The 23,912-nt window shown below is 41.7% G+C and overlaps 1 long non-coding RNA gene across 4 annotated transcripts in view, besides 1 other annotated feature; it reads left to right on the top strand.

Moving 5' to 3' along the window:
* Window positions 7,534–8,263: an enhancer, noted in NCBI's record as "VISTA enhancer hs74". NCBI's record gives its function as "enhancer in: neural tube[4/12] | midbrain (mesencephalon)[6/12]" and the evidence as "EXISTENCE:transgenic organism evidence [ECO:0001131][PMID:17130149]".
* LOC102723323 (uncharacterized) overlaps window positions 9,415–23,912 on the top strand; it is a 137,467-nt gene continuing 122,969 nt past the window's right edge. For all 4 annotated transcript variants that reach the window (XR_933558.3, XR_001752179.2, XR_001752180.2 and 1 more), the window contains exon 1: window positions 9,415–9,684. This is a non-coding gene — a long non-coding RNA (uncharacterized LOC102723323). The remainder of the gene's footprint in view (window positions 9,685–23,912) is intronic.

Raw genomic sequence — 23,912 nt, 5'->3', positions numbered from 1 at the left:
TTTGATATACTGATAAGTGATTTTTTAATGTAGCGTGTTCCTAATTCTTATTCAATGACAGTTGAAAATTGGGCATTTAGGTATAAAAAGAAAATACAAGGAGAAAATAATTAGAGAGAACTAAAAAAGGACCAGAGTAGGTGAGAGATGTCAGAGGATTTGGAAACAGTCTCTAGAGAGGGTGAAGTTGAAAGATAGTCATCTTTACTCTAGTAAAACACAAGAGAGAACTAGTTTGGTAGAATATTGGAACTGGGTCTAACAGGGGATGAGATAGGATTAAGAATGTGAAGTATCTCCTTAAATTATTCCAACAACACCTTACAAGCTCTCCCAGCTCCCTTTTTGCCTCTTTCCAGTCAATTCCTGTCAGGGTGCCATGTTTCTAATAAGCCGATTGAATCAACCATACAACCATTCCCATTGCTCCTTGCAGAGCCAATAATGCCCTATAGGATGTAGCCCCTGCCTGCCTTTCCAGGCTCATTGCTCCTCACACCCCACCAGCCAACCACCTATAGTATAGAGTCTACACTCCAGCTCTCAGAAGCAACTCTCTGTCCTTCTTCCAGCAGATACCTACCCATTTTCTGCATTTAGATTAAAAGCCACTTATTCATGGAATTCTTCCCTGACCCCAGGCTTCATCCAGGCAATCATCTTGTTTTGTCTTTGTTTTGAGTCCAAATTTTTAAAAATTGTATATTTTATATAAAAATCCAGATTACCAGCTCCTTTTGGAAATCAGAAGATACATTAACGCTAAACCCACATCTCACAGAAGTTTGGCTAGAGGAATCAGGGAGGGTGGTATTCTCACCAGCCATTCCAGAGGATATTCTCCAAAAGTAGCATCTTTTCAACTTTTTTTTGAGACGGAGTTTCGCTCTTGTTACCCAGGCTGGAGTGCAATGGCACGATCTCGGCTCACCACAACCTCCACCTCCCAGGTTCAAGCGATTTTCCTACCTCAGCCTCCTGAGTAGCTGGGATTACAGGCATTCACCACCACATGCACCATCACGCCTGGCTAATTTTGTATTTTTAGTAGAGATGGGATTTCTCCATCTTGGTCAGGTTGGTCTCAAACTCCCAACCTCAGATGATCCACCCGCCTCAGCCTCCCAAAGTGCTGGGATTATAGGCGTGAGCCACCGTGCCCTGCCTTTTCAACTTTTTTTTAAAAGAAAATGTTAGCACAGCTATGATTTAAATTATTCTGGAAGCAAGACCAAAGATTCTTGAGTATTTAGTTACGTGGCAATGTATGTTTGTTGTAAATAAAGGGATGACGACTTTCTCATGACAGCAGTGGCTTTGCCCACAAAGAGGCATGGACTGATCAGTTTGCCATAGCCCCCAATTCTTGAACTTATGTACCCCATCAAAATATGCATCTAGAAACTCCAGCTCAGACCCATCCTTATCACTGCTGATCCGTTGTACAAATAAGAAGAGGAATTCTCTCCAGGCCAAAGGATCACTTTGAAAATCACTTGTAATGCCTACTAGGACAGAGACCCTACTTGACCATTTACCTGCCCTGTGATCTTAGGCAAGTCACTGAACCCCTCCTTATTTTATAAATAGGTATAATGATGATAGTGATGGCAATAATATTAATGACCCTTCTCTCATTCCCTGAGCATGAAATGAGAATGTCGAAGTGAAAGTACTGTGACAACTCAAAATGGTAACACAAGCTTTAGTTACTGTTTTTATTATGGTAACTAGTGATTATTTACTACATTCCAGGTGCTATACCAGCCACTTTACAGACAATATCTCACTTAAGACTCATCATTACCTTATGAGTCAGGTACTGAGATTATGCCTATTTTATACATGAGGAAACTGAAACTCAGAGAGGTTATATAATTCATGTAAAATCAGTAGCTATTATAAGGCAGACTCAGGTCTGAACTGAGTTTGGTCTAATGTTTCCAACAGCATCACAATGCTTAAAAACATCACAAAATGATCATTGTAGTAGTGGTTGAAATAATTATTTGTACTAAGCTATTTCTTGTATTATAAGCAAATCTCTATCTTAAGCATGTCACATGTATTAACTCTTTTAACAACAATCTTGAGGTGGGAAGCTATTTTGTTTTCTGTTTTTCTTGGATGGTTATAACAAAGTATCACAGGTGACTCAAGAGAAGTGATGACAAGTTGAAAATAAATTTAAGTTGCTCTAAGTACATGACTACCTTATTGTTTTAATCTCCAATATATTTGCAATGTCTAATAGGGGCTTGATTAATACCAATTAATATCTGTAGGCATCAATACCTATTGGAGAAGTGAATGAATGAGAGAATGAATGGAAATTGATTACTCTTCAGAGGTGCTGCAAACATGATTTGACAGAAAACACACTTCTACTATTGCATATTCTACACTCCTCAACCTTTGCTCTAGCCTGCTACGGAGACCTCTTTGTAGTTTCCAGATTATTCACTGGAATAAGATAAAAATGAGTAACTCCTCAGAATCAAATCCCTATTAACCCAGGGGTCTTGCTGCAACCAATATGGGTTTACTATGTACAAGATACATGCATTCTATTTAATCCTACTAAATATATTATTGTCATTTCCATTTTTCCACAAAACATATGATTATTACCATCCTGTCCACTTTTCTGACAGATATGTCAGAAACTGAGAAGGGTCAAATTTAACTAACTTGCCCGAAATTCCACATCCATAATAAAGAAGGAGCTAGGATATGAACCCAGGTTGGGTTTTTGGAGGTGCTTTTCTGTTGTTTTGGGAGTTTGGGGTTTTTAAAATTTTTTTTGTTGATACCGAGTCTCACTCTGTCACTCAGGCAGTGGTGCAATCACAGCTCACTGCAACTTCGAATGCCTGGGTTCAAAGCATCCACCTACCTTGGTCTCCCAAGTAGCTAGGACTACAGGCATCCATCACTATACCCAGGTAATTTTTTTTTTATTTTTCTGTAGAGATGAAGTCTTGTAATATAGCCCAGGGTGTTCTCGAACTCCTGGGCTCAAGCGGTCCTCCTACCTCAGCCTCCCAAAGTGTTGAGGTTGCAGGTGTGAGCCACAGCAACTGGCCTGAATCCAGGTTTTGCCTGACTTCAGAACCCATGTTGTTGACCAAATGCCACATCTGTGGGTTGACACTGCTCTAAAATTAGGTGCTAGAAATTTGAAAGAATAACGTTGTGCCACATGAATGGACATCTGCCCACTTGAATCTGGAAAACTTTTTTAAAGTTCAGCTAATTCCCAGCTTCTTTTCAAACTTTTGTGGGGGGAAAAACATAAGGCATTATTTTACACTCCTCTGTATTGTCAATATCCCTGGAATTACAAGCAATGACACCTTGTAATAACAGTTCTATTGTATCTAGCTCTATTCTGTTTGATATGACTTTGGGGTCTGACATAACTTCATATCAATCAGAATTTTCAAAAATGCTGGCTTGTGATAGTTTGTTCCAAGGCCTTTGTGAATAATTATATAGAGGGGGAAATCTTTCTAATTCATATGGTAACTTCCCAATTATTCAAAACCATTTAATTGAGAATTTGTAATATTTGATACAGGATCTGGTCAAAATTTATATTCTGGAAAAATTTTAAAAAGCTAGTAAGCATATCATTAATGTAAATAAGTTTACAAGAGGATCATACAAGTCTCTTAAGAGAGCAAACTCTTTTCCAGCAATTTAGAGACACCCTGTCATTAGGTTGGTGTGCTAATTACAAATCATTCTAATTGATTCAATAGTCTCCCAAAAGACTTCCATAATGTACTAGACAAATACTTTATTAGCCAAGCTGAGTTACTGTAGGTTCTTAAAAGAAAAAAAAAAGCTTTCTTGAAAACAATATCAAGTCAGAATTCTCACTATTATAAAAAGGGCCCTTTCCTTGATTTTATTCTCAATCAGTGTTTGTTTCACTGTTTTGACTTCCTGCTTTTATTTAATGAATGCTAATGTGAGACAGAAAAGAGAAAATAGACTTGGTTTCTTTCCCTACATCCCTCTTGTCTCCCTTTGTAAAAAAAAAAAAAAAAAAAGAGCATCTGTTCATTCTTGACCATGATCAATTTCCCCCTTTTTTCTCTCACAGTCCTGATTTTTTTCCCCCTTTTGGGAGTCACCACATTTCCACTGTCTGTCTATGCAGGTTAGATAGATTGACCCCACCTTCCTGGATCCAGGATGGCCACTTAGAAATGTTCTATACATATGTTGTTCACAATGATGGCTATGGGAATGGGCACGAATCCCAAGGCAGGCCAATGAGAAGACGTGCTGGTAGCACCTGAATTGCTGAGCTGTAGGAAATAGGTCAGGTGCCTGATGGCCACCACATGGAAGATGGAAGGACTTGCCAGAGGAATGAAGTTGATACAGAGTTGGAGACAGAGACAAGTAAAGCCATTCCTGACAATGTTATTTGAAGCTCTGGATTAGGTCGTACCTGTCATCATTTGTACCCCTGAGTTTTCGACTCATACCAACTAAGATATTACTTTTATTTATTTTCCTTTTTTAAAGCTTGTTTAGGTTGTGTTTTTATTCACTTGAATAGAATTTAGGCTGGACGTGGTGGCTCATGCCTGTAAGTAATCTCAGCACTTTGGGAGGCCATGGCTGGCAGATTGCTTGAGGTAAGAAGTTTGAGATCAGCCTGGCCAACATGGCGAAACCCCATTGCCACTAAAAACACAAAAAATTAGCCGGGCATGGTGGTGCACTCCTGTAATCCCAGCTACTCAGGAGGCTGAAGTGGGAGGATCCTTTGAATCCAAGAGGCGGAGGTTGCATTGAGCCAACATCACACCACTGAACTCCAGCCTAGGCGGCAGAGCCAGATACCATCTCAAAAAAAAAAAGATTTTAAAGTGTATTTTATTTTCTTAAGGAATCCCTTAAAATAAAAAGAAATATTTTATTTCCTTGCATATAATTTTATCTTCTTGTACAACACTGACCTCCTTCTCTGAGATTACTCAAATTGAAAAGGCCAATAGTTTATTTATACCTGAACTAAAGGCTATCCATCTGAATTTTGATCTAAAGGCTTACTAAGAAAAATATTTCACATTTCTGTATTTTTAATCTTCTTAATTTTTATTCTGAGCCTCTATCTACTCCTTCCTAAGTCTCTGGGAACTGCTTTTTAGTTGAGAAGCCATCCCTTTATCCTCATGCCTTGGGGTCCTCAACGAACATGAGATTTTTGGAAACTAAAGCCAGGAGGCTCTGCCACAAACCATCCCAAAGCCAAGGAAACACAGAAACTGCTTCCTGCCTGATGGGGGGAGGTGAATTATTCAATAATACAAACTGCAAGGAAAAAATATAATTCAATGAAAAGAAAAATCTCACTGTAACTACTTCAAAAAATTAATTTTAGCCCAACAATAAACAGCTTGGATGCAGCAAGTCAGCTTCAGATTCTGCAGAAAAAGGTGATGGTAATAACCTCAAGAATAAGACTAGACATTTGAATCTTATTCTAGTCTTGGGTCTAAGATCATAATGGTCATTTTCTATTTCTGGGTCTCTCTTTTGCCATCTGTAATGTGCAGATAAGCAGACTTACTTATTCAAATACATAGCAAAGACATGAGAGATTCTTATCTACTCCCCTGCCTACAACAGTTTCATAAAAATGTAATCCACTATCCAAATTAAATCAGTCTTCTACAATAGTTCCTAAGGAAGCATATTTTGTAAAGCTTTCCAAGTGATTCTGAAGAACAGGCAAGTTTGAGAACCACTGCTTTAGATGAAGGAAGCACTAGTGCTTTTATTAAAACAATGGCTCAAAACATGGTCTAGATTCACCAGCGAAGCTTTATATAAAAGGAAATACACTGGACCATATCCTCAGGCCTGCCAGGATAAGGCCAGGGCATGGGTCTGTTCAACAAGTAACAGTGGTGACTCGGAACCTCTGTTGGAAACCTAAGCCATTCTGGTATTCCAGGATACCTTCTGTTTCTGTTTGCTGGCTTGGTCTTCATTGTCCTAAGAAGCCCAGGCCTCACTCCAGGCTGCCTCAGGAAGTCCATCCAGAGACCTGGGCTGGTCATGTTGACCATGACAGGGCCAAATTAGCCTGCTTGGTCTTGTCGATTTTCATGCTGCTGATAAAGACATACCCAAGACTGGGTAATTTATAAAGAAAAAGGACTTTAATGGACTCACAGTTCCATTTGGCTGGGGAGGCCTCACAATCATGACAGAAGGCAAAAGGCACATCTTACATGGCAGCAGACAAGAGAGAATGAGAGCCAAGTGAAAAGGAAAACCCCTTATAAAACCATTAGGTCTCATGAGACTTATTCACTACCACGAGAACAGTATGAGGGAAACCACTCCCATGATTCAATTATCTCCCACTGGGTCCCTCCCACAACATGTGAGAATTATGGGAGTTACAATTCAAGATGAGATTTGGGTGGGGACACAGCCAAACTATATCAGTCTTCAAGGATAGAGTAGGAGACTCTCTGGTTTCCACAAAGGTAAAGTATCAGAGTGCTTTTGGTTTTGGTTTTGTTGTTGTTTTTAAAGTGTGAGGGCAATTGCTCGGTTGTCCTGGGCCTCAGAGGAGCTGTAGACATTTAGTGCCTGTCCAAAATGCCAGTGATGCTCCCACTGAGAAGCATTGGCCAGGGAAGGGACTAGTGTTCTCTATCTGGGAATGGAAAGCTCAGAGGACAGTTAGAACATGCACAGTTGATGAGAATCTTTGTTCTCTGAAGATTCTGTGTAGTATTCAGTGAGATGCCACATAGATCCAGTAAAATACATCAAAAATTTGAAAGAGCTGAGGCAAACATACGGGAGATCTATCAGTGGGTTTGAGAAAGGGCACTGTTGTTTCTGCTGCCTTTGTGTCCCAGGGTTGTGTCCAGCATCAACAGCAGTAGCAACGTGGTCATCACAAAAATATTCCACCTGGTTTTGCTTCCATCCACAGGTTGCAGACTATAGGTCACATGTTACTCACATGGTTTTCCAACGAAACACACACAGTATTCTAAAAACATTCATACAATAACTACCTCCAACATCTAGAATTCTTGGGATTTCACATTAACAACCATATATTTCCTTTTGAAAAAATTCAGAGTTGGCAGCAGGGGCCTGTATGTCTGCGCAGCAGCATTGGTGGTGCCGGGTGGCTTCCGCCCCTTGAGATACGTCCCTCGTTCTCTAGTCCCCGCTGCCCTGGTTTTCTGCTTCAAGCTTGGCCTCTGTAGGCACTTGCATTTCTGAGCCTCGTATAGTCATTCTCTTCTTTTTCAGAATCCTTTTTCTGTAATTCTTCCATGGGTCCACCTCCGTAATCCAGCGAGGAGGGCAGGACCCGCAAGACAGGTCACATTTCACAAATGGGGAGACCAAGACCCAGGAAGGGGGCAGGATTTGCCCTGAATCAAAGAGCAACTTTTTCCTACCATAGTGACTTCAATAAATCAGACCACGATCCCCCTCCCTCCAGACACGACCCCCCACAACCTATTTCTAAGGGAGCTTATTTCCCCCAGCTTAGTTCAGGTGTTCCTGGCTTTGTGTGGCTATAAAAGAATTGGATTTAGCTCTGTTTGGCTTCCCTGTTCTCTTCCTGACAGCGCTATTTAATGGACAAACAGTTTGTTTTATTTATCTGACAGGGTTTCTTCACATTGTTTCGGGTTATCAGCCCTCCCCTGCAGATCATATTACAGCTTGTGCCGGGTTCGACCCTCAGTAGGGTTCACTCTAAATCAGATCCTTATCCTCACTGCAGTGATAAATAGAGCGGCCTGGAAGCCCACAGCCAGGTTATTTATTTAGTACCTCCGTGGATCATGTTTTATACAGCCGGGACTTCGTGTCAGGCCTTTACGGATCCAGCTTAAGTTGCATTCAGGAACTAAAACCCAAAGCCCCTTAAATAATGCTAACTTAATAGCTGACATTTTTATGAAATAAGTCTGTGTGGAGGGGGCAGAAAGGGGGCAATGCGGACAGAGAGCTGGAGCTGAGTTTCAGTGTGTGTGTGGCAGGGGTATCTGAACGCGGGTGGAGATTGGAGAGGATAGGGAGGCTTTGATTCTCTGGTTTATTTCAAACTAACAGAATATTTTGCTTTTAAGTGAGGTCTCTCATGGAGGTCTATAGTTCTTGTTTTTTTGTTTGTTTGTTTTATTTTAATGAGATAAAAAAGGAAGAGTCGGAGTTGAGATAATGTTTCTTAGGGAGCCACACAAATTAGGGATGGGGTCTTTCACTGGGCGGGGGGCAATTTATTTTATTTATTTTAAATTTTTAAGACAGGGTCTTGCTCTGTCACCCAGGCTGGGGTGCAGTGGCATGATCGCTGCTCATTGCAACCTCCTGCAGCAAGCGATTCTTGTGCCTCAGCTCCCAAGTAGCTGGGACTACAGGTGCACGCCACTACGCCCAGCTAATTTTTGTATTTTTGGTAGAGACGGGGTTTTCCCGTGTTGGCCAGGCTGGTCTCGAAGTCCTGGCCTCAACTGATCCTTTCATCTCGACCTCCCAAAGTGCTGGGATTACAGGCATGAGCCACCATGCCTGGCCAGGGGGCAATTTATGTAGTGGTGGAGGGAGGAAGCATTCTCTCTGAGAATCATCTTGTCAGAACCATCTGGCTGGGGGCGGTGCACAAGAACCATCTGCTGGGAGCCTCATTTCCATCCTGTTCCTTAAATGCAAACTTTTGACGTTATCCATAAATGAAGTCACACACACAATCACTGCAATGTGGGTACACGAAATGTGTTATTTTGACAAGAGTTAACATTTAACATACTCAAATTCATTTATTTTGCAATTGACTTATGGTATTTCTCCATTTTCGAATATACTAGAAGTCAAAAACAGAAAAAAAAATGAGCCTCATGTTTTTCAACCTTCAACCTTCAAGGATCTAGAGGGGAGGAAATGAAAACATCTGCCTTCATAAAGGTGCTGCTCTTTCCTTCCAGGATTCCCCAGGGCATCCTTGGAGTGCCCCCAGTTTGAATTGGAGATAAAAGGTATGGTCTTGTTGAAATTGCCCCCAAATTGAGCTGCACCTTCCAATTGAGGCAGAAAGAATCGCCTTTTGATACGTTCCACAATTGGAATGCAAATTCTCTCCCATCTCCTAGACACCTGGGCCTGCCCCCATTTTTCTTGACTGTAATCTGTTTAGCTTGTGCATAAAATGGCAAAAACAAAGAGTCTTTCTGTAAAAGAAAAAGAAGAGGAAAGAAAGTAGATTCTGTGTCCTCTTCCTTAGTCCTTGCCAAATCTTTGCTCCCAGGCCTCGGCAGGTGGCAGTGTACATGAGTCATGCAGTCTATCTTTCTGTTTTGTTTGTTATTAACCACTGAAATGATGGCACCATTCCTGGAGTTAGGCCTTCAACCAAAGAGCTGGGCCATCCGTGGCAATGCCTCCCAGGCTTGGGAGCTGGGAAAAGGCCCCAGGAGCTAGGGCATCCTGATTGTTCTTTCAAAGAAATCCCTCTTGTTCTTAGTCAACATGCTGGATACCAGCTAAAAAATGCAAAATGATCTTCAGGCAGGGATGGCACAGGACCCTTGCTGAGCTGTGAAGCCTGGCTGTGAGGATTCCTGCATGGAAACATCAACATGTTGCCAGATTGGTATACGACTCAACACCACACTGGTATGTAACCAGCTTAGAGGTCTGGGGGTTTTAGGGAAGCTGGGAAGTATTATTGCATGTTAGAGCTTGAGAACACAGGGCAGGCCAAAAGGTTAGGTTCTGATATGTGTGAAGGTTGAGTACCCGGCCCGGCACCTAGACAATGCTTCAGTTTGGCTTGCAACCAACAGGACACAACAGTGAAGGTACCCATTGCTGGGGGAAGAGGAGTAGGAGGCTGTGGTCATCACGGTTGGGGAAGGAAGCCATAGTTGAAACCACATGTAAATAATTAGGAAGAAAAAAGACCATGGTGTCATATAGATTTGTAAATCTCTAAAAATGAGGATGGTTAGGGGTACTGAAAAGAATTAAGTATTGTCATGAAATGCTTTCCTCCACTGTACATTAATTTTATTTAAAAACTCTTATATAAGCATTTACTTTGTATCAGGCACTGTTTTGAACGCTGTGCAAGTATGAGCTCTCCTACGCCTCATTACAAACCTATGAGCTAAGCACTTTTAGGTCATCACTGTTTCAGGATCTGGAAAATGTGGTCCTGGAAGGTTAAGTCACTTACCTGAAGTCACCTAGCTTCCACGTGGGATTCACATGCAGGCAGCCCTGCTTGAGTTCACGGCCTCTCTACAAGACTCAGGCAGCAGATCTTGGATTCAAAGTGCTTAGAATACATTGCTTTCCCAGGAGCCACATTCAAGATGGGCTCATGTGATTCTTTGCTGTCCTTTTCAGGATCTGTCCTTGCCTCCAAGGCCCCAAATCTTCAGTCTTCATGGTTGACATCTGTTTATTTAATCTGGGATGTCTGCTGTGCAATGACGCCCTGTCTTTCTAGTTCTTGTTGGTTGGTCTGATTGAACCACAGGCCTCTCTTCGTGCGCTTCATTCTTCTCTGCTCAGCTGGTATCTCTGTTTTTGGAAGGCAGGTGTGAATCCTTACACTCAGCTCTCGAGGTCATTCATTTCTTCCATCTTCCTGCTCCTGATCCAGCCTCCATGACCTGCCTGCAGATAGCATTGCTACCCATGTCTGTTGGGTAATGGATAGATATTCAAGGAATGTTTGTTGAATGAATGCATGAGTGAATAAATGACAAATAAACTAAGCCTCTGCCAAAAGCCAAGCCCCTACACCTGCTTTCCTGTGGCGAGCTCCCACTTGAGACAATTATCCAAACACATTAATTCCTGAAAGAAAGAGCAGCCAGGAGTTCATTCCTTAGAGCAGAAAACACAAAAGGTTAAAAGTGGCTCTTTCTTTGAGTCCCCGACTGTGATTTCAGCACAGAGTGCAAACTCATTCCAGCTGGAAGGATTCCATTGTTGACATCTACAAAGCATTTGGAAAATCCTCATGGAGAAAAATGCTGGCAAAATCATGTAAGAAAAAAACGAATGAAATCTATAAATTTTATTATAATCACATGAAAGTGACATTTGTTTATGGCCAAAGACTAGAAAGGAACATGAAATATCAACATGGCTTATTGTTTAGTATATTACAATTTGAATTTTTAAAAATACCTACTGATGATTGTTGTTGGCATGTGTGTGAATGCATGTTCATGTGTGAGTGTGCATGTGTGGAGAATAACAGGCTATGAAAAGATTGTACCATCATCCAAGGGAACTTTGCACTAAGTTATCAATCCTGACCTGTTCTTCAAAAGTTGGATGATTTCTGATTAAATTGTCCAGGTGATTGCCCAAGTCCTAACCTCACAATGGCAGTGGCAGTGGTAGTCAACACCAGGTTGACACAGTTTCTATAATTGGGTAAGCATTGCACTTTGGGCCCAAGGTAATCATCTTGTTGATAGCACATGGAAGGTATTTGGCAGCTAAAGGGCAGCTGAGCTAACATTGCACCTGGCTGTTAAGAACATATTAGAATGATTAAGAGAAAAGAAAGATAAACTGTTTATTATTATTATTATTATTATTATTATAGTTTAAGTTCTGGGATACACGTGCAGAACGTGCAGGTTTGTTACATAGGTATACACGTGCCATGGTGGTTTGCTGCACATATCAACCCGTCATCTACATTAGGTATTTCTCCTAATGCTATCCCTCCCCTAGCCCCCAACTCCCTGACAGGCCCCAGTGTATTATGTTCCCCTCCCAGTGTCCATGTGTTCTCATTGTTCAACTCCCACTTATGGGTGAAAACATGGGGTGTGTGGTTTTCTATTCCTGTGTTAGTTTCCTGAGAATATGGTTTCCAGCTTCATCCATGTCCCTGCAAAGGACATGAACTCATCCTTTTTTATGGCTGCGTAGTATTCCATTGTGTATATGTGCCTCATTTTCTTTATCCAGTCTATCATTCATGGGCATTTGTGTTGGTTCCAAGTCTTGCTATTGTGAACAGTGCTGCAATAAACACACATGTGCATGTGTCTTTATAGTAGAATGATTTATAATCCTTTGTGTATATACACAGTAATGGGATTGCTGGGTCAAATGGTATGTCTGGATCTAGATCCTTGAGGAATCACCACATTGCCTTCAACAATGGCTGAACTAATTTACACTCCCACCAACAGTGTAAAAGCATTCCTATTTCTCCACATCCTCTCCAGCATCTGTTGTTTCCCGACTTTTTAATGATCACCATTCTAACTGGCATGAGATGGTATCTCATCGTGGTTTTGCTTTGCATTTCTCTAATGACCAGTGATGATGAGCTTTTTTTCAAATGTTTGTGGGCCGCATACATGTCTTCTTTTGAGAAGTGTCTGTTCATATCCTTCGCCCACTTTTTGATAGGATTGCTTGTTTTTTTTCTTGTAAATTTGTTTGAGTTCTTTGTAGATTCTGGATATTAGCCCTTTGTCAGATGGATAGATGGCAAAAATTTTCTCCCATTCTGTATGTTGCCTGTTCACTCTGATGATAGTTTATTTTGCTGTACAGAAGCTCTTTAGTTTAATTAGATCCCATTTGTCAATTTTGGCTTTTGTTGCAATTGCTTTTGTTGTTTCAGCCATGAAGTCTTTGCCCATGCCTATGTCCTGAATGGTATTGCCTAGGTTTTCATCTAGGGTTTTTATGGTTTTAGGTCTTACATTTAAGTCTTTAATCCATCTTGAGTTAATTTTTGTACAAGGTGTAAGGAAGAGGTCCAGTTTCAGTTTTCTGCATATGGCTAGCCAGTTTTCCCAACACCATTTATTAAATAGGGAATCCTTTCCCCATTGCTTGTTTTTGTCAGATTTGTCAAAGATCAGATGGTTGTAGATGTGTGGTGTTATATCTGAGGACTCTGTTCTGTTCCATTGGTCTATATATATGTTTTGGCACCAAGTATCATGATGTTTTGGTTACTGTAGCCTTGTAGTATAGTTTGAAGCCAGGTAGCATGATGCCTCCAGCTTTGTTCTTTTTGCTTAGGGTGCTCTTGGGCTATACAGGGTCTTTTTTGGTTCCATATGAAATTTAAATTAGTTTTTTCTAATTCTGTGAAGAAAGTCAATGTAGCTTGATGGGGATAGCACTGATTTTATAAACTACTTTGGGCAGTGTGGCCATTTTCACAATATTGATTCTTCCTATCCATGAGCATGGAATATTTTTGCATTTGTCTATGTCCTGTCTTATTTCTTCGAGAAGTGGTTTGTAGCTCTCCTTCAAGAAGTACTTCACACCCTTTGTAAGTTGTATTCTTAGGTATTTTATTCTCTTTGTAGCAATTGTGAACAGGAATTCACTAATGATTTGGCTCTCTGTTTGTCTCTTATTGGTGTATAGGAATCCTTGTGATTTTTGCACATTGATTTTGTATCCTGAGACTTTATTGAAGTTGCTTATCAGCTTAAGGAGATTTTGGGCTGAGATGATGGGGTTTTTTAAATATACAATTATGTCATCTGCAAACAAAGACAACTTGACTTCCTCTCTTCCTATTTGAATACGCTTTATTTCTTTCTCTTGTCTGATTGCCCTGTCAGAACTTCCAACACTATGTTGAAAAGGAGTGGTGAGAGAGGGCATCCTTCTCTTGTGCTGGTTTTCAAACAGAATGCTTCTATCTTTTACCCATTCAGTATGATATTGGCTGTGGGTTTGTCATAAATAGCTCTTATTATTTTAAGATACATTCCATCAATACCTAGTTTATTGAGAGTTTTTAGCATAAAGTGGTATTGAATTTTATCAAAGGCCTTTTCTGCATCTATTGAGATAATCATGTGGTTTTTGTCATTGGTTCTGTTTATGTGATGGATTACATTTATTGATTTGCATATGTTGAACCAGACTTGCATCCCAGGGTTGAAGCCGACTTGATCGTGGTGGATAAGCTTTTTGATGTGCTGCTGGATTTGGTTTGCCAGTATTTTATTGAGGATTTTTGCATCGATATTCATCAGGGATATTGGCCTGAAATTTTCTTTTTTGTTGTTGTTGTGTCTCTGCCAGGTTTTGGTATCAAGATGATGCTGGCCTCATAGAATGATTTAGAGAGGAATCTCTCTTTTTCTATTGTTTGGAATAGTTTCAGAAGGAATGGTACCAGCTCCTCTTTCTACGGCTGTGAATCCATCTGATCCTGGGCTGTTTTTGTTGGTAGGTTATTAATTACTGCCTCAATTTCAGAACTTGTTATTGGTCTATTCAGGGATTTGACTTCTTCCCCACATAGTCTTGGGTGGGTGTATGTGTCCTGGAATTTATCCATTTCTTCTAGATTTCCTAGTTTATTTGCGTAGAGGTATTTATAGTATTCTCTGATGGTAGTTTGTATTTCTGTGGGATCAGTGGTGATATCCCCTTTATCATTTTTATTGTGTCTATTTGATTCTTTTCTCTTTTTTTTACTTATTAGTCTGGCTAGCAGTCTATCTATTTTATTAATTTTTTCAAAAACCAGCTCCTGGATTCATTGATTTTTCAAAGATATTTTGTGTCTCTATATACTTCAGTTCTGCTCTGATCTAAGTTATTTCTCGTCTTCTGCTAGCTTTTGAATTTGCTTGCTCTTGCTTCTCTAGTTCTTTTAATTGTGATGTTAGGATGTCAATTTTAGATATTTCCTGCTTTCTGCTGTGAGCATTTAGTACTGTAAATTTCCCTCTAAACACTGCTTTAGCTGTGTCCCAGAGATTCTGCTGCATTGTGTCTTTGTTCTCATTGGTTTCAAATAACTTATTTATTTCTCCCTTAATTTCGCTATTTACCCAATAGTCATTCAGGAGCAGGTTGGTCAGTTTTCATGTAGTTGTGCAGTTTTGAGTGAGTTTTTTAATCCTGGGTTCTAATTTGATTGCACTGTGGTCTAAGAGACTGTTTGTTATGATTTCCATTCTCTTGAATTTGCTGAAGAGTGTTTTACTCCCAATTATGTGGTCAAGTGTGATGTGGTGCTTACAACAATGTATAGTCTGTTGATTTGGGGTGGAGAGTTCCGTAGATGTCTATTAGGTCTGCTTGGTCCAGAGCTGAGTTCAAGTCCTAAATATCCTTGTTAATTTTCTGTATCATTGATCTGTCTAATACTGACAGTGGGGTGTTACAGTCTCCCACTATTATTGTGTGGGAGTCTAAGTCTCTTTGTAGGTCTCTAAGAACTTGCTTTATGAAACTGGGTGTTCCTGTATTGGGTGCATGTATATTTAAGAGAGTTAGCTCTTCTTGTTGCATTGATCCCTTTACCATTATGTAATGCCCTTTTTTGTCTTTTTTGATCTTTGTTGGTTGAAAGTCTGTTTTATCAGAGACTCAGAGACTAGGATTGCAACCCCTGCTTTTTTTTTTTCCATTTGCTTGGTAAATATTACTCCATTCCTTTATTTTGAGCTTATGTGTGTCTTTGCACATGAGATAGGTCTCCTGAATACAGCACACCAATGGGTCTTGACTCTTTATCCAATTTGCCAGTCTGTGTCTTTTAATTGGGGCAGTTAGGCCGTTTACATTTAAACTTAATATTGTTATGTGTGAATTTGATCTTGTCATTACAATGCTAGCTAGTTATTTTGCCCATTAGTTGATGCAGTTTCTTCATAGTGTTGATAGTCTTTACAATTTGGTATGTTTTTGCAGTGGCTGATACTGGTTTTTCCTTTCCATATTTAGTGCTTCCTTCAGGAACTCTTGTAATGCAGGCCTGGTGTTGACAAAATCTTTCAGCATTTGCTTGTCTGTAAAGGATTTTATTTCTCCTTCACTTATGAAGCTTAGTTTGGCTGGATATGAAATTCTGGGTTGAAAAATCTTTCTTTAAGAATGTTGAATATTGGCCCCCACTCTCTTCTGGCTTGTTGAGTTTCTGCAGAGAGATCTGCTCTTAGTCTGATGGGCTTCTCTTTGTGGGTAACCTGCCCTTTCTCTCTGGCTAACTTTAACACTTTTTCCTTCATTTCAACCTTGGTGAATCTGATGATTATGTGTCTTGGGGTTGCTTTTCTTGAGGAGTATCTTTGTGGTGTTCTTCATATTTCCTGAATTTGAACATTGGCCTGTCTTGCTAGGTTGGGGAAGTTCTCCTGGATAATATCCTGAAGAGTGTCTTCCAACTTGGTTCCATTCTCCCCATCACTTTCAGGTACACCAATCAAATGTAGGTTTGGTCTTTTCACATAGTCCCATGTTTCCTGGAGGCCTTGTTCATTCCTTTTCATTCTTTTTGCTCTAATCTTGTCTTCATGATTTATCTCATTAAATTGATCTTCAATCTCTGATATCCTTTCTTCCACTTGATTGGTTTGGCTATTGATACTTGTGTATGCTTCACAAAGTTCTTGTGCTGTGTTTTTCAGCTCCTTCAGGTCATTTATGTTCTTCTCTAAACTGGTTATTCTAGTTAGCAATTCCTCTAACCTTTTTTCAAAGTCCTTAGCTTCCTTGCATTGGGTTAGAACACGCTCCTTTAGCTCGGAGGAGTTTGTTATTACCCACCTTCTGAAGCCTACTTCTGTCAATTCATCTAACTCATTCTCTATCTGGTTTTCTTCCCTTGCTGGCAAGGAGTTGTGGCCCTTTGGAGGAGAAGACACATTCTGGTTTTTGGAATTTTCAGCTTTTTTGCACTGGTTTTTCCTCATCTTCGTGGATTTACCTACCTTTGGTCTTTGATGTTGGTGACCTTCGGATGGGGTTTCTGTGTGGGCATCCTTTTTGTTGATGTTGATGCTATTCCTTTCTGTTTGTTAGTTTTCCTTCTAACAGTCAGGCCTCTCTTCTGCAGGTCTGCTGGAGTGTGCTGGAAGTCCACTCCAGACTCTGTTTGCCTGGGTATCACCAGCAGAGGCTGCAGAACAGCAAAGATTGCTGCCTGTTCCTTCCTCTGGAAGCTTCGTCCCAGAGGGGCACCTGCCAGATGCCAGCTGGAGCTCTCCTGTGTGAGGTGTCTGTCAGCCCCTGCTGGGAGGTGTCTCCCAGTCAGGAGGCATGGAGGTCAGGGACCCACTTGAGGAGGCAGTCTGTCCCTTAGCAGAGCTCAGGCACTGTGCTAGGAGATCCACTGCTCTCTTCAGAGCTGGCTGGCAGGAACGTTTAAGTCTGCTGAAGCTGCACCCACAAGCCGCCCCTTCTCCCAGGTGTTCTGTCCCAGGGAGACAGGAGTTTTATCTATAAGCCCCCGACTGGGGCTACTGCCTTTTTTTCAGAGATGCCCTGCCCAGAGAGGAGGAATCTAGAGAGGCAGTCTGGCTACAGCAGCTTTGCCAAGCTGTGGTGGACTCCATCCAGTCCAAACTTCCCAGAGGCTTCGTTTACACTGTGAGGGGAAACCTGCCTACTCAAGCCTCAGTAATGGCAGATGCCCTTCCCCCACAAAGCTTGAGCATCCCAGGTCAACTTCAGACTGCTGTGCTGGCAGCAAGAATTTCCAGCCAGGGCCTTGCTGGGCTCTGTAGGGGTGGGATCCGCTGAGCTAGACCACTTGTTTCCCTGGCTTCAGCCCCCTTTCCCAGGGAGTGAATGGTCCTGTCTCGCTGGCATTCCAGGCACCACTGGGGTATATAAAAAAAAAAACTGCAGCTAGCTCGGTGTCTGCCCAAACGGCCACCCAGTTTTGTGCTTGAAACCCAGGGCCCTGGTGGTGTAGGTGAGGCAATGCCCCACCCTGCATCTGCTCTCTCTCCATAGGCTGCACCCACTGTCTATCCAGTCCCAGTGAGATAAGCCAGGTACCTCAGTTGGAAATGCAGATATTGCCCACCTTCTGCGTTGATCTCACTGGGAGCTGCAGACTAGAGCTGTTCCTATTCGGCCATCTTGCACGCAACTCCCAAATCTGTTTTTAAAAAGGGAAAAGAAGGCTGGGTGCGGTGGCTCACACTTGTAATCTCAGCACTTTGGGAGGCCAAGGTGGGCGGATCACCTGAGGTAAGGAGTTTGAGACAAGCCTGACCAACATGTAGAAACCCCATCTCTACTAAAAACACAAAATTAGCTGGGCATGGTGGTGCATGCCTGTAATCCCAGTTACTCAGGAGGCTGAGGCAGGAGAATTACTTGCACCCCAGGAGGCAGGGGTTGCAGTGAGCCGAGATCATGCCATTGCACTCCATCCTGGGCAACAAGACCAAAACTCCATCTCAGAAAAAAAAAAAAAAAAGGAAAAAGACAAGCCGAGTTTAGCAAGAATCCTACTCATATGGAAGTCGTATTCATTGAGCACTTCCTACATGCAGAGTTCAATGTTATTTATTGTTCCTTAAAATAATGTCCAACGTTTCTCAACCATAATTGTCAATGGCATTTGATGGATGAATGATCTAATGAATATGCATTTGAAATATCTTTTTAACTTCCTATTTATGTTTGTACATAATTAACTCATGTGTTATTATCTAAATAATAGAAATATGAACTTCTACTTTAAAAAGGATACATATCCAGAAGATCTTGAAGATGAAGGTGTGAGTGTAGTATTTGATTTGAGAGGTGATCTCAGGAGACACCAGTAGAGGAAAGTGAATGAAAAGGCCAATCCTTGGGGCATAGATGAGGAGGTTTCCACTGTAGACAAGCAGGAGTCAGTGTCCATATGGGAAAACATGTTTCAGAGTTGGCCTACCCAAGAAGTAGGGAAGCTGGGGTATGCACCAACTCCCATTCATCGGTGGCTGAGGGATGCTCCCATGGATGGTAACTGCCCAGCAATTCCAGTCTGCCCTGGACTCTGGCTCAGCTGCTCCCATTTCTAGAGGCATACTACCAGAAAGACATCTTTAGTAGGAATGGTAAGTGTCAAGGTCGTACGGATGAGGCATCTTCTGTACCTGCTACTGACAAGCATATCAGGTAATTTGCTGCTACTTTTTCTGGTATCTACATCAGAAATGCCTCTGTATTGTTGCTTAATCTATAATCCCAGCATAGGACACTATCATCTCTCTCTCTGTCAATTCACAGGCATCATAGCTAGTGTAGCCTACCACAGAGTAAATAACCCATTAATATGTTTTAAATAAACAAATAACGTATCACTCAAGGCCCAGTTCAAATCTCACTTCCTTCAAGAAATGCTCTCTAGGCCAGCATGGTGGTTCACACCTGTAATCTCAGCACTTTGGGAGGCCGAGGTGGGTAGATTGCTTGATCCCAAGAGTTTGAGACCAGCCTGGGTAGCACGGCAAAACCCTGTCTCTGCAAAAAATACAAAAATTAACTGGGTTTGGTAGCACATGCCTGTAGTCCCAGCTACTCGGGAGGCTGATGTGGGAGGATCACCTGAGCCCGGGGAAGTCAAGGCTGCAATGAGTGGTGTTGGTGCCACTGCATGCTAGCCTGGGCTACAGAGTGAGAACCTGTCTCAAAAAGAAAAAGAAATACTCTCTAATTTCCTCTTAGAAATACTTTCTAAGTTTCCCAGAACACTTTGCACTTCAATTACAGCCCTTTGCTCTTCATCTTTTCTTGTTGAGAATAATTTGCCTGCTCCTGGCCCTGCAGCTTATCAGCAAAGATCTCGTCAATACAGGGAGAGTGAGAGTCAGCAGTTTTTAGCTATCATCTGTGACTAGGTGGGTGAGCCTAATTTTCAGGTGCAGTACTAGGGAGCTTCTTGCTCCTGGTTCATGCTTCTAAGCCATGCTATTCCAGTTCAACTTTCACAGCAATGAAGCCAATCTTGATTTGTGTGACTTCTCTGCTTTTGTCAATTGGTTCTGAACTCAGGTAGGAAAGACGGTTCTTATTTATTGTGTCCCTCTCAAATTCCTACCCATACAATGCAGAGACTTCAAGCTTCCAAAACAGTATTGGAAGGAACACTTCCACAATCTAAGGCATTTAGGATTCTCATGGATAATAACCCCTGCTGAAGGTGACCTCATGATGAAAATGCCTACAAACTGATGAAGAAACAAACCACCATGAGGGAGAGTCAGCATGTGCCACAATGAGAGAATGCACTGCCCTGATCCCAGAGAGAACACAAAAATCTGTATATGACACATGTGCTCTTTCAAATATAATCCCAGTCCACTCTCTGCAGGGTAGAAAGAGCAATATTATCAAAAAACACAAATCAGATCCCTCCCACATCCCAACCCTACTTAATCTTCTGTGATGGCTTCCAATTGTGCTTAGAATAAACATAAGCTTCCTAGGTTATCCTGCAGGTGTGGGCCCTACCAACCTTACCAGGTGGATTCAAAAACACCTGCCCACTCCATATCCTCACAGCAAGTTTTCAGATTATAGAACACATCATTCCTTGCGCACATTTGTTCTTCAGCCCAGAACTCCTTCCTGGTTCTTCTTTAGGTATCTAATTCCCTTATACTTATATTCTCTAGAATTCACCTCAATCATTAATTTCTCACAGAAGACTCCTCTGACCATCCTGCTGAGGTCAAATCTTTTTATTTGTTTGTTTGTCAGATCTTATTACATGCATAGCACCAAGTTCCTTTTCTTCCCCATATTTATCAGAGTTGTGTTTCTACCATTGTGTGGGTAATTTCATCAAGGTTGTTCAGTGGAATGTTAGCTCTTTTAAGTCAAAGTCTGTTCTTTGGCCAGGCATGGTGGCTCACGCCTGTAATCCCACCACTTTGGGAGGCCGAGGCAGACAGATCATGAGGTCAGTAGTTCGAGACCAGCTTGGTCAATATGGTGAAACCCTGTCTCTACCAAAAATCCAAAAAAAATTAGCCAGACGTGGTGTCATGTGCCTGTAGTCTCAGCTACTCGGAAGGCGGAGGCAGGAGAATCTCTTGAACCTGGGAGAGGGAGGTTGCAGTGAGCCGAGATTGCGCCACTGCACTCCAGCCTGGATGACAGAGCAAGACTCTGTCTCAAAAAAAAAAAAAAAAAAAAAAAGTCTGTTCTTTGCATCCTCTGTACCTAATATTGTGCACAGCATCATGAAGATGCCCTTAAATGTCTCTTGTATGAATGAGTAAGTAGATGTATCTTGAATGAATGAGTGTGGCAGACCCATTTATCAGCTGCTGTGAGTGTGGCCTGATCATGGCTCACAGCTGCACCCCTTCCTTGGAGAATTGCCTTTGGCTGATAAAGGTCACCTCAATGGAAGAATAAATGCCCTAATGAAGTCTGTAGCTAATGACTGTTGATATGAGTACAAAAAGCTTGTTTCCCACAATGAGATGCCACTTCCCACCCTCTAGGATGGCTACAATCAAAAAGATAGATAATGACAAGTGTTGTAGAGGATGTGGAGAAATTGGAACCCACATTCATTACTGGCGGGAAGGTAAAATGCACGGCCACTGTGGAAAACAGTTTGGTAGTTTCTCAAAAAGTTAGATGTAGAATTATCATATCATTCAGCAATTCCACTCCTATGTACATACCCAAGGGAACTGAAAGAAGTATTTAAACAAAAACCTTGTACACAAATATTTATAGAAGAACTATTCAGGAGTGCCAAAATGTGGAAACCACCCAAATGTCCATCAACTAATGAATAGATAAATAAAATGTGCCCGGGCACTGTGGCTCGCACCTAAAATCCTCACACTTTGGAGGCTGAGGAAGGCAGATCACTTGAGGTCAGGAGTTCAAGATCAGCCTGGTCAACATGGTGAAACCCTATCTCTACTAAAAATACAAAAATAGCCGGGTGTGGTGGTGCACACCTGTAATTCCAGCTACTCAGGAGGCTGAGGCATGAGAATCACTTGAACCCAGGAGGTGGAAGCTGCAGTGAGCTGAGATCGCACCACTGCACTCCAGCCTGGGAGACAGAGTGAGACTGTCTCAAAAAAAAAAAAAAAAAAGTGGTATATGCATGCAATGAAATACTATTCAGTCTTAAAAAGAAATGAGTACATATGCAAATCCATAGGGACAGAAAGCAGATGAGTGGTTGCCAGGGGCTGAGGGGAGGAGAGAATGGGAGTGAAAACTAATGGATACAGGGTTTCCTTTTAGGGTGAAGAAAAAGTACCGAAATTAGATAGTGGTGCTGGTTGCACAACATTGTGAATGTACCTAATACTAGTCAATTGCACACTTTAAAATTGTTAAAATGGTATTTTATCTTATGTATATTTTATCACAATTTGTATTGCTTTTTTTAAAAGTTTTTGTTTTAGATTCAGGGAGCACCTGTGCAAGTTTGTTACATGGGTATGTTGTGTGTCGCTGAAGTTTGGGTTTCTAATGATCCTGTTGCCCAAGCAGCAAACCTAGTTCCAGATGTGTAGTTTTTAACCCTTTTTCCCCTCCTCCCCTTCCCCCTTTTCGAATCCCTAGTATCAGCCGGGCGCAGTGGCTCATGCCTGTAATCCCAGCCCTTTGGGAGGCTGAGGTGGTGGATCACGAGGTCAGGAGATCGAGACCATCCTGGCTAACATGGTGAAACCCTGTCTCTACTAAAAATACAAAAAATTAGCCAGGTGTGGTGGCACACGCCTGTAGTCCCAGCTACTTGGGAGGCTGAGGCAGGAGAATCACTTGAACCCAGGAGGTGGAGGTTGCAGTGAGCCGAGATTGTGCCACTGCCCTCCAGCCTGGGCAACAGAGCCAGACTCCATCTCAAAAAAAAAAAAAAAAAAACAGAAAGAAGAAAAGAATCCCTTGTATCTGTTGTCCTAACTTGGTGTCCATTTGTACCCAGTGTTTAGCCCCTACTTACAAGTGCAAACATGTGGTATTTGGTTTTCTGTTTCTGCATTAATTTGCTTAGGATAACAGCCTCTAGCTGCATCCATGTTGCTGCAAAGGATGTTATTTCATTCCTTTTTATGGCTGCATAGTATTCCATGGTGTATATGTGTCACATTTTCTTTATCCAATCCACCATTGATGAGCACCTAGGTTGATTCCATTTGTTTGCTATTATGTGACAACTTTTAGAAAGGGCTGGCACTTTGCTGCCACAATGCAAGGATGCCTGTGTTGGGACACATGCTCCAGCATCCCACACTGATCAGGCCAAATTTAGACCTTACCTGGCACATCCTTGCTCAGCTCTTGCCTCTCCCCTATCTGGTGTTCTTCTCTCCCTCTCAGGTTTCTCCTAAGAGCAGTCCCTCCCTCAATTAAAAAAGGACTTTTTAATTCTTCTCTCAGTCTCCACTTTTATGGAATGTGACCCAAAACCGTAAGTGAACCAGTGGATAAAATAAATGTGCAAATAATTTTTTTATTTTTTATTTCTTTATTTTTCTTTATTTAGTTTAGAAATGGGGTCCCACTGTGTCACCCAGGTTGGTGTGCATTGGCATAATCATAGGTCACTGCAGCTTCCAACCTCTCACCTCCAGCAAACTTCTTGCATCAGCCTCCCAGTAGGTAGGACTACAGGCATGCACCAACTCACCTGGATGATTTTTTTTTTAAGTTTTATAGAGATAGGGTCTTGCTATGTTGCCCAGGCTGATCTTGAACTTCTTGGTCTCAAGCAATCGTCCCACTTCAGTTTCCAAAATGCTGGGATTACAGGCACCAGCCACTGCATCCAGCCTACATAATTTTTGTAAATGCTCAAGCCCTCTAAGCTTGGAGCTGGGATTCAAACCCAGATGAGGTTGACTCCAAAGTCCACTCTCCAACTACTAGGGTGCCTTCCCTAACGAGTTCACTGAGGAAAATACGGCTTTGTGTGGACAAGACTGCGGAGCTGATGATGTTCCTTTAGGGTCCACACTTCTGCCCCTTTTCCTGCAGATATTCTTCGAATATCTGCACCTCAGACTAAATGGAAAGCCTATCTCAGTGGCTTTTTTCTCTGCAACCTCAAGCCCTGTATAACAATTATAACATACAAACACACACACACACACACACACACACACAAA

The sequence above is a fragment of the Homo sapiens genome, chromosome 16 (assembly GCF_000001405.40).
Source record: "Homo sapiens chromosome 16, GRCh38.p14 Primary Assembly".
NCBI classification, from domain to species: Eukaryota; Metazoa; Chordata; class Mammalia; order Primates; family Hominidae; genus Homo; species Homo sapiens.
The sequence above is the reverse complement of the archived record's forward strand: the minus strand, read 5'-3'. Positions and strand labels throughout refer to the sequence as shown.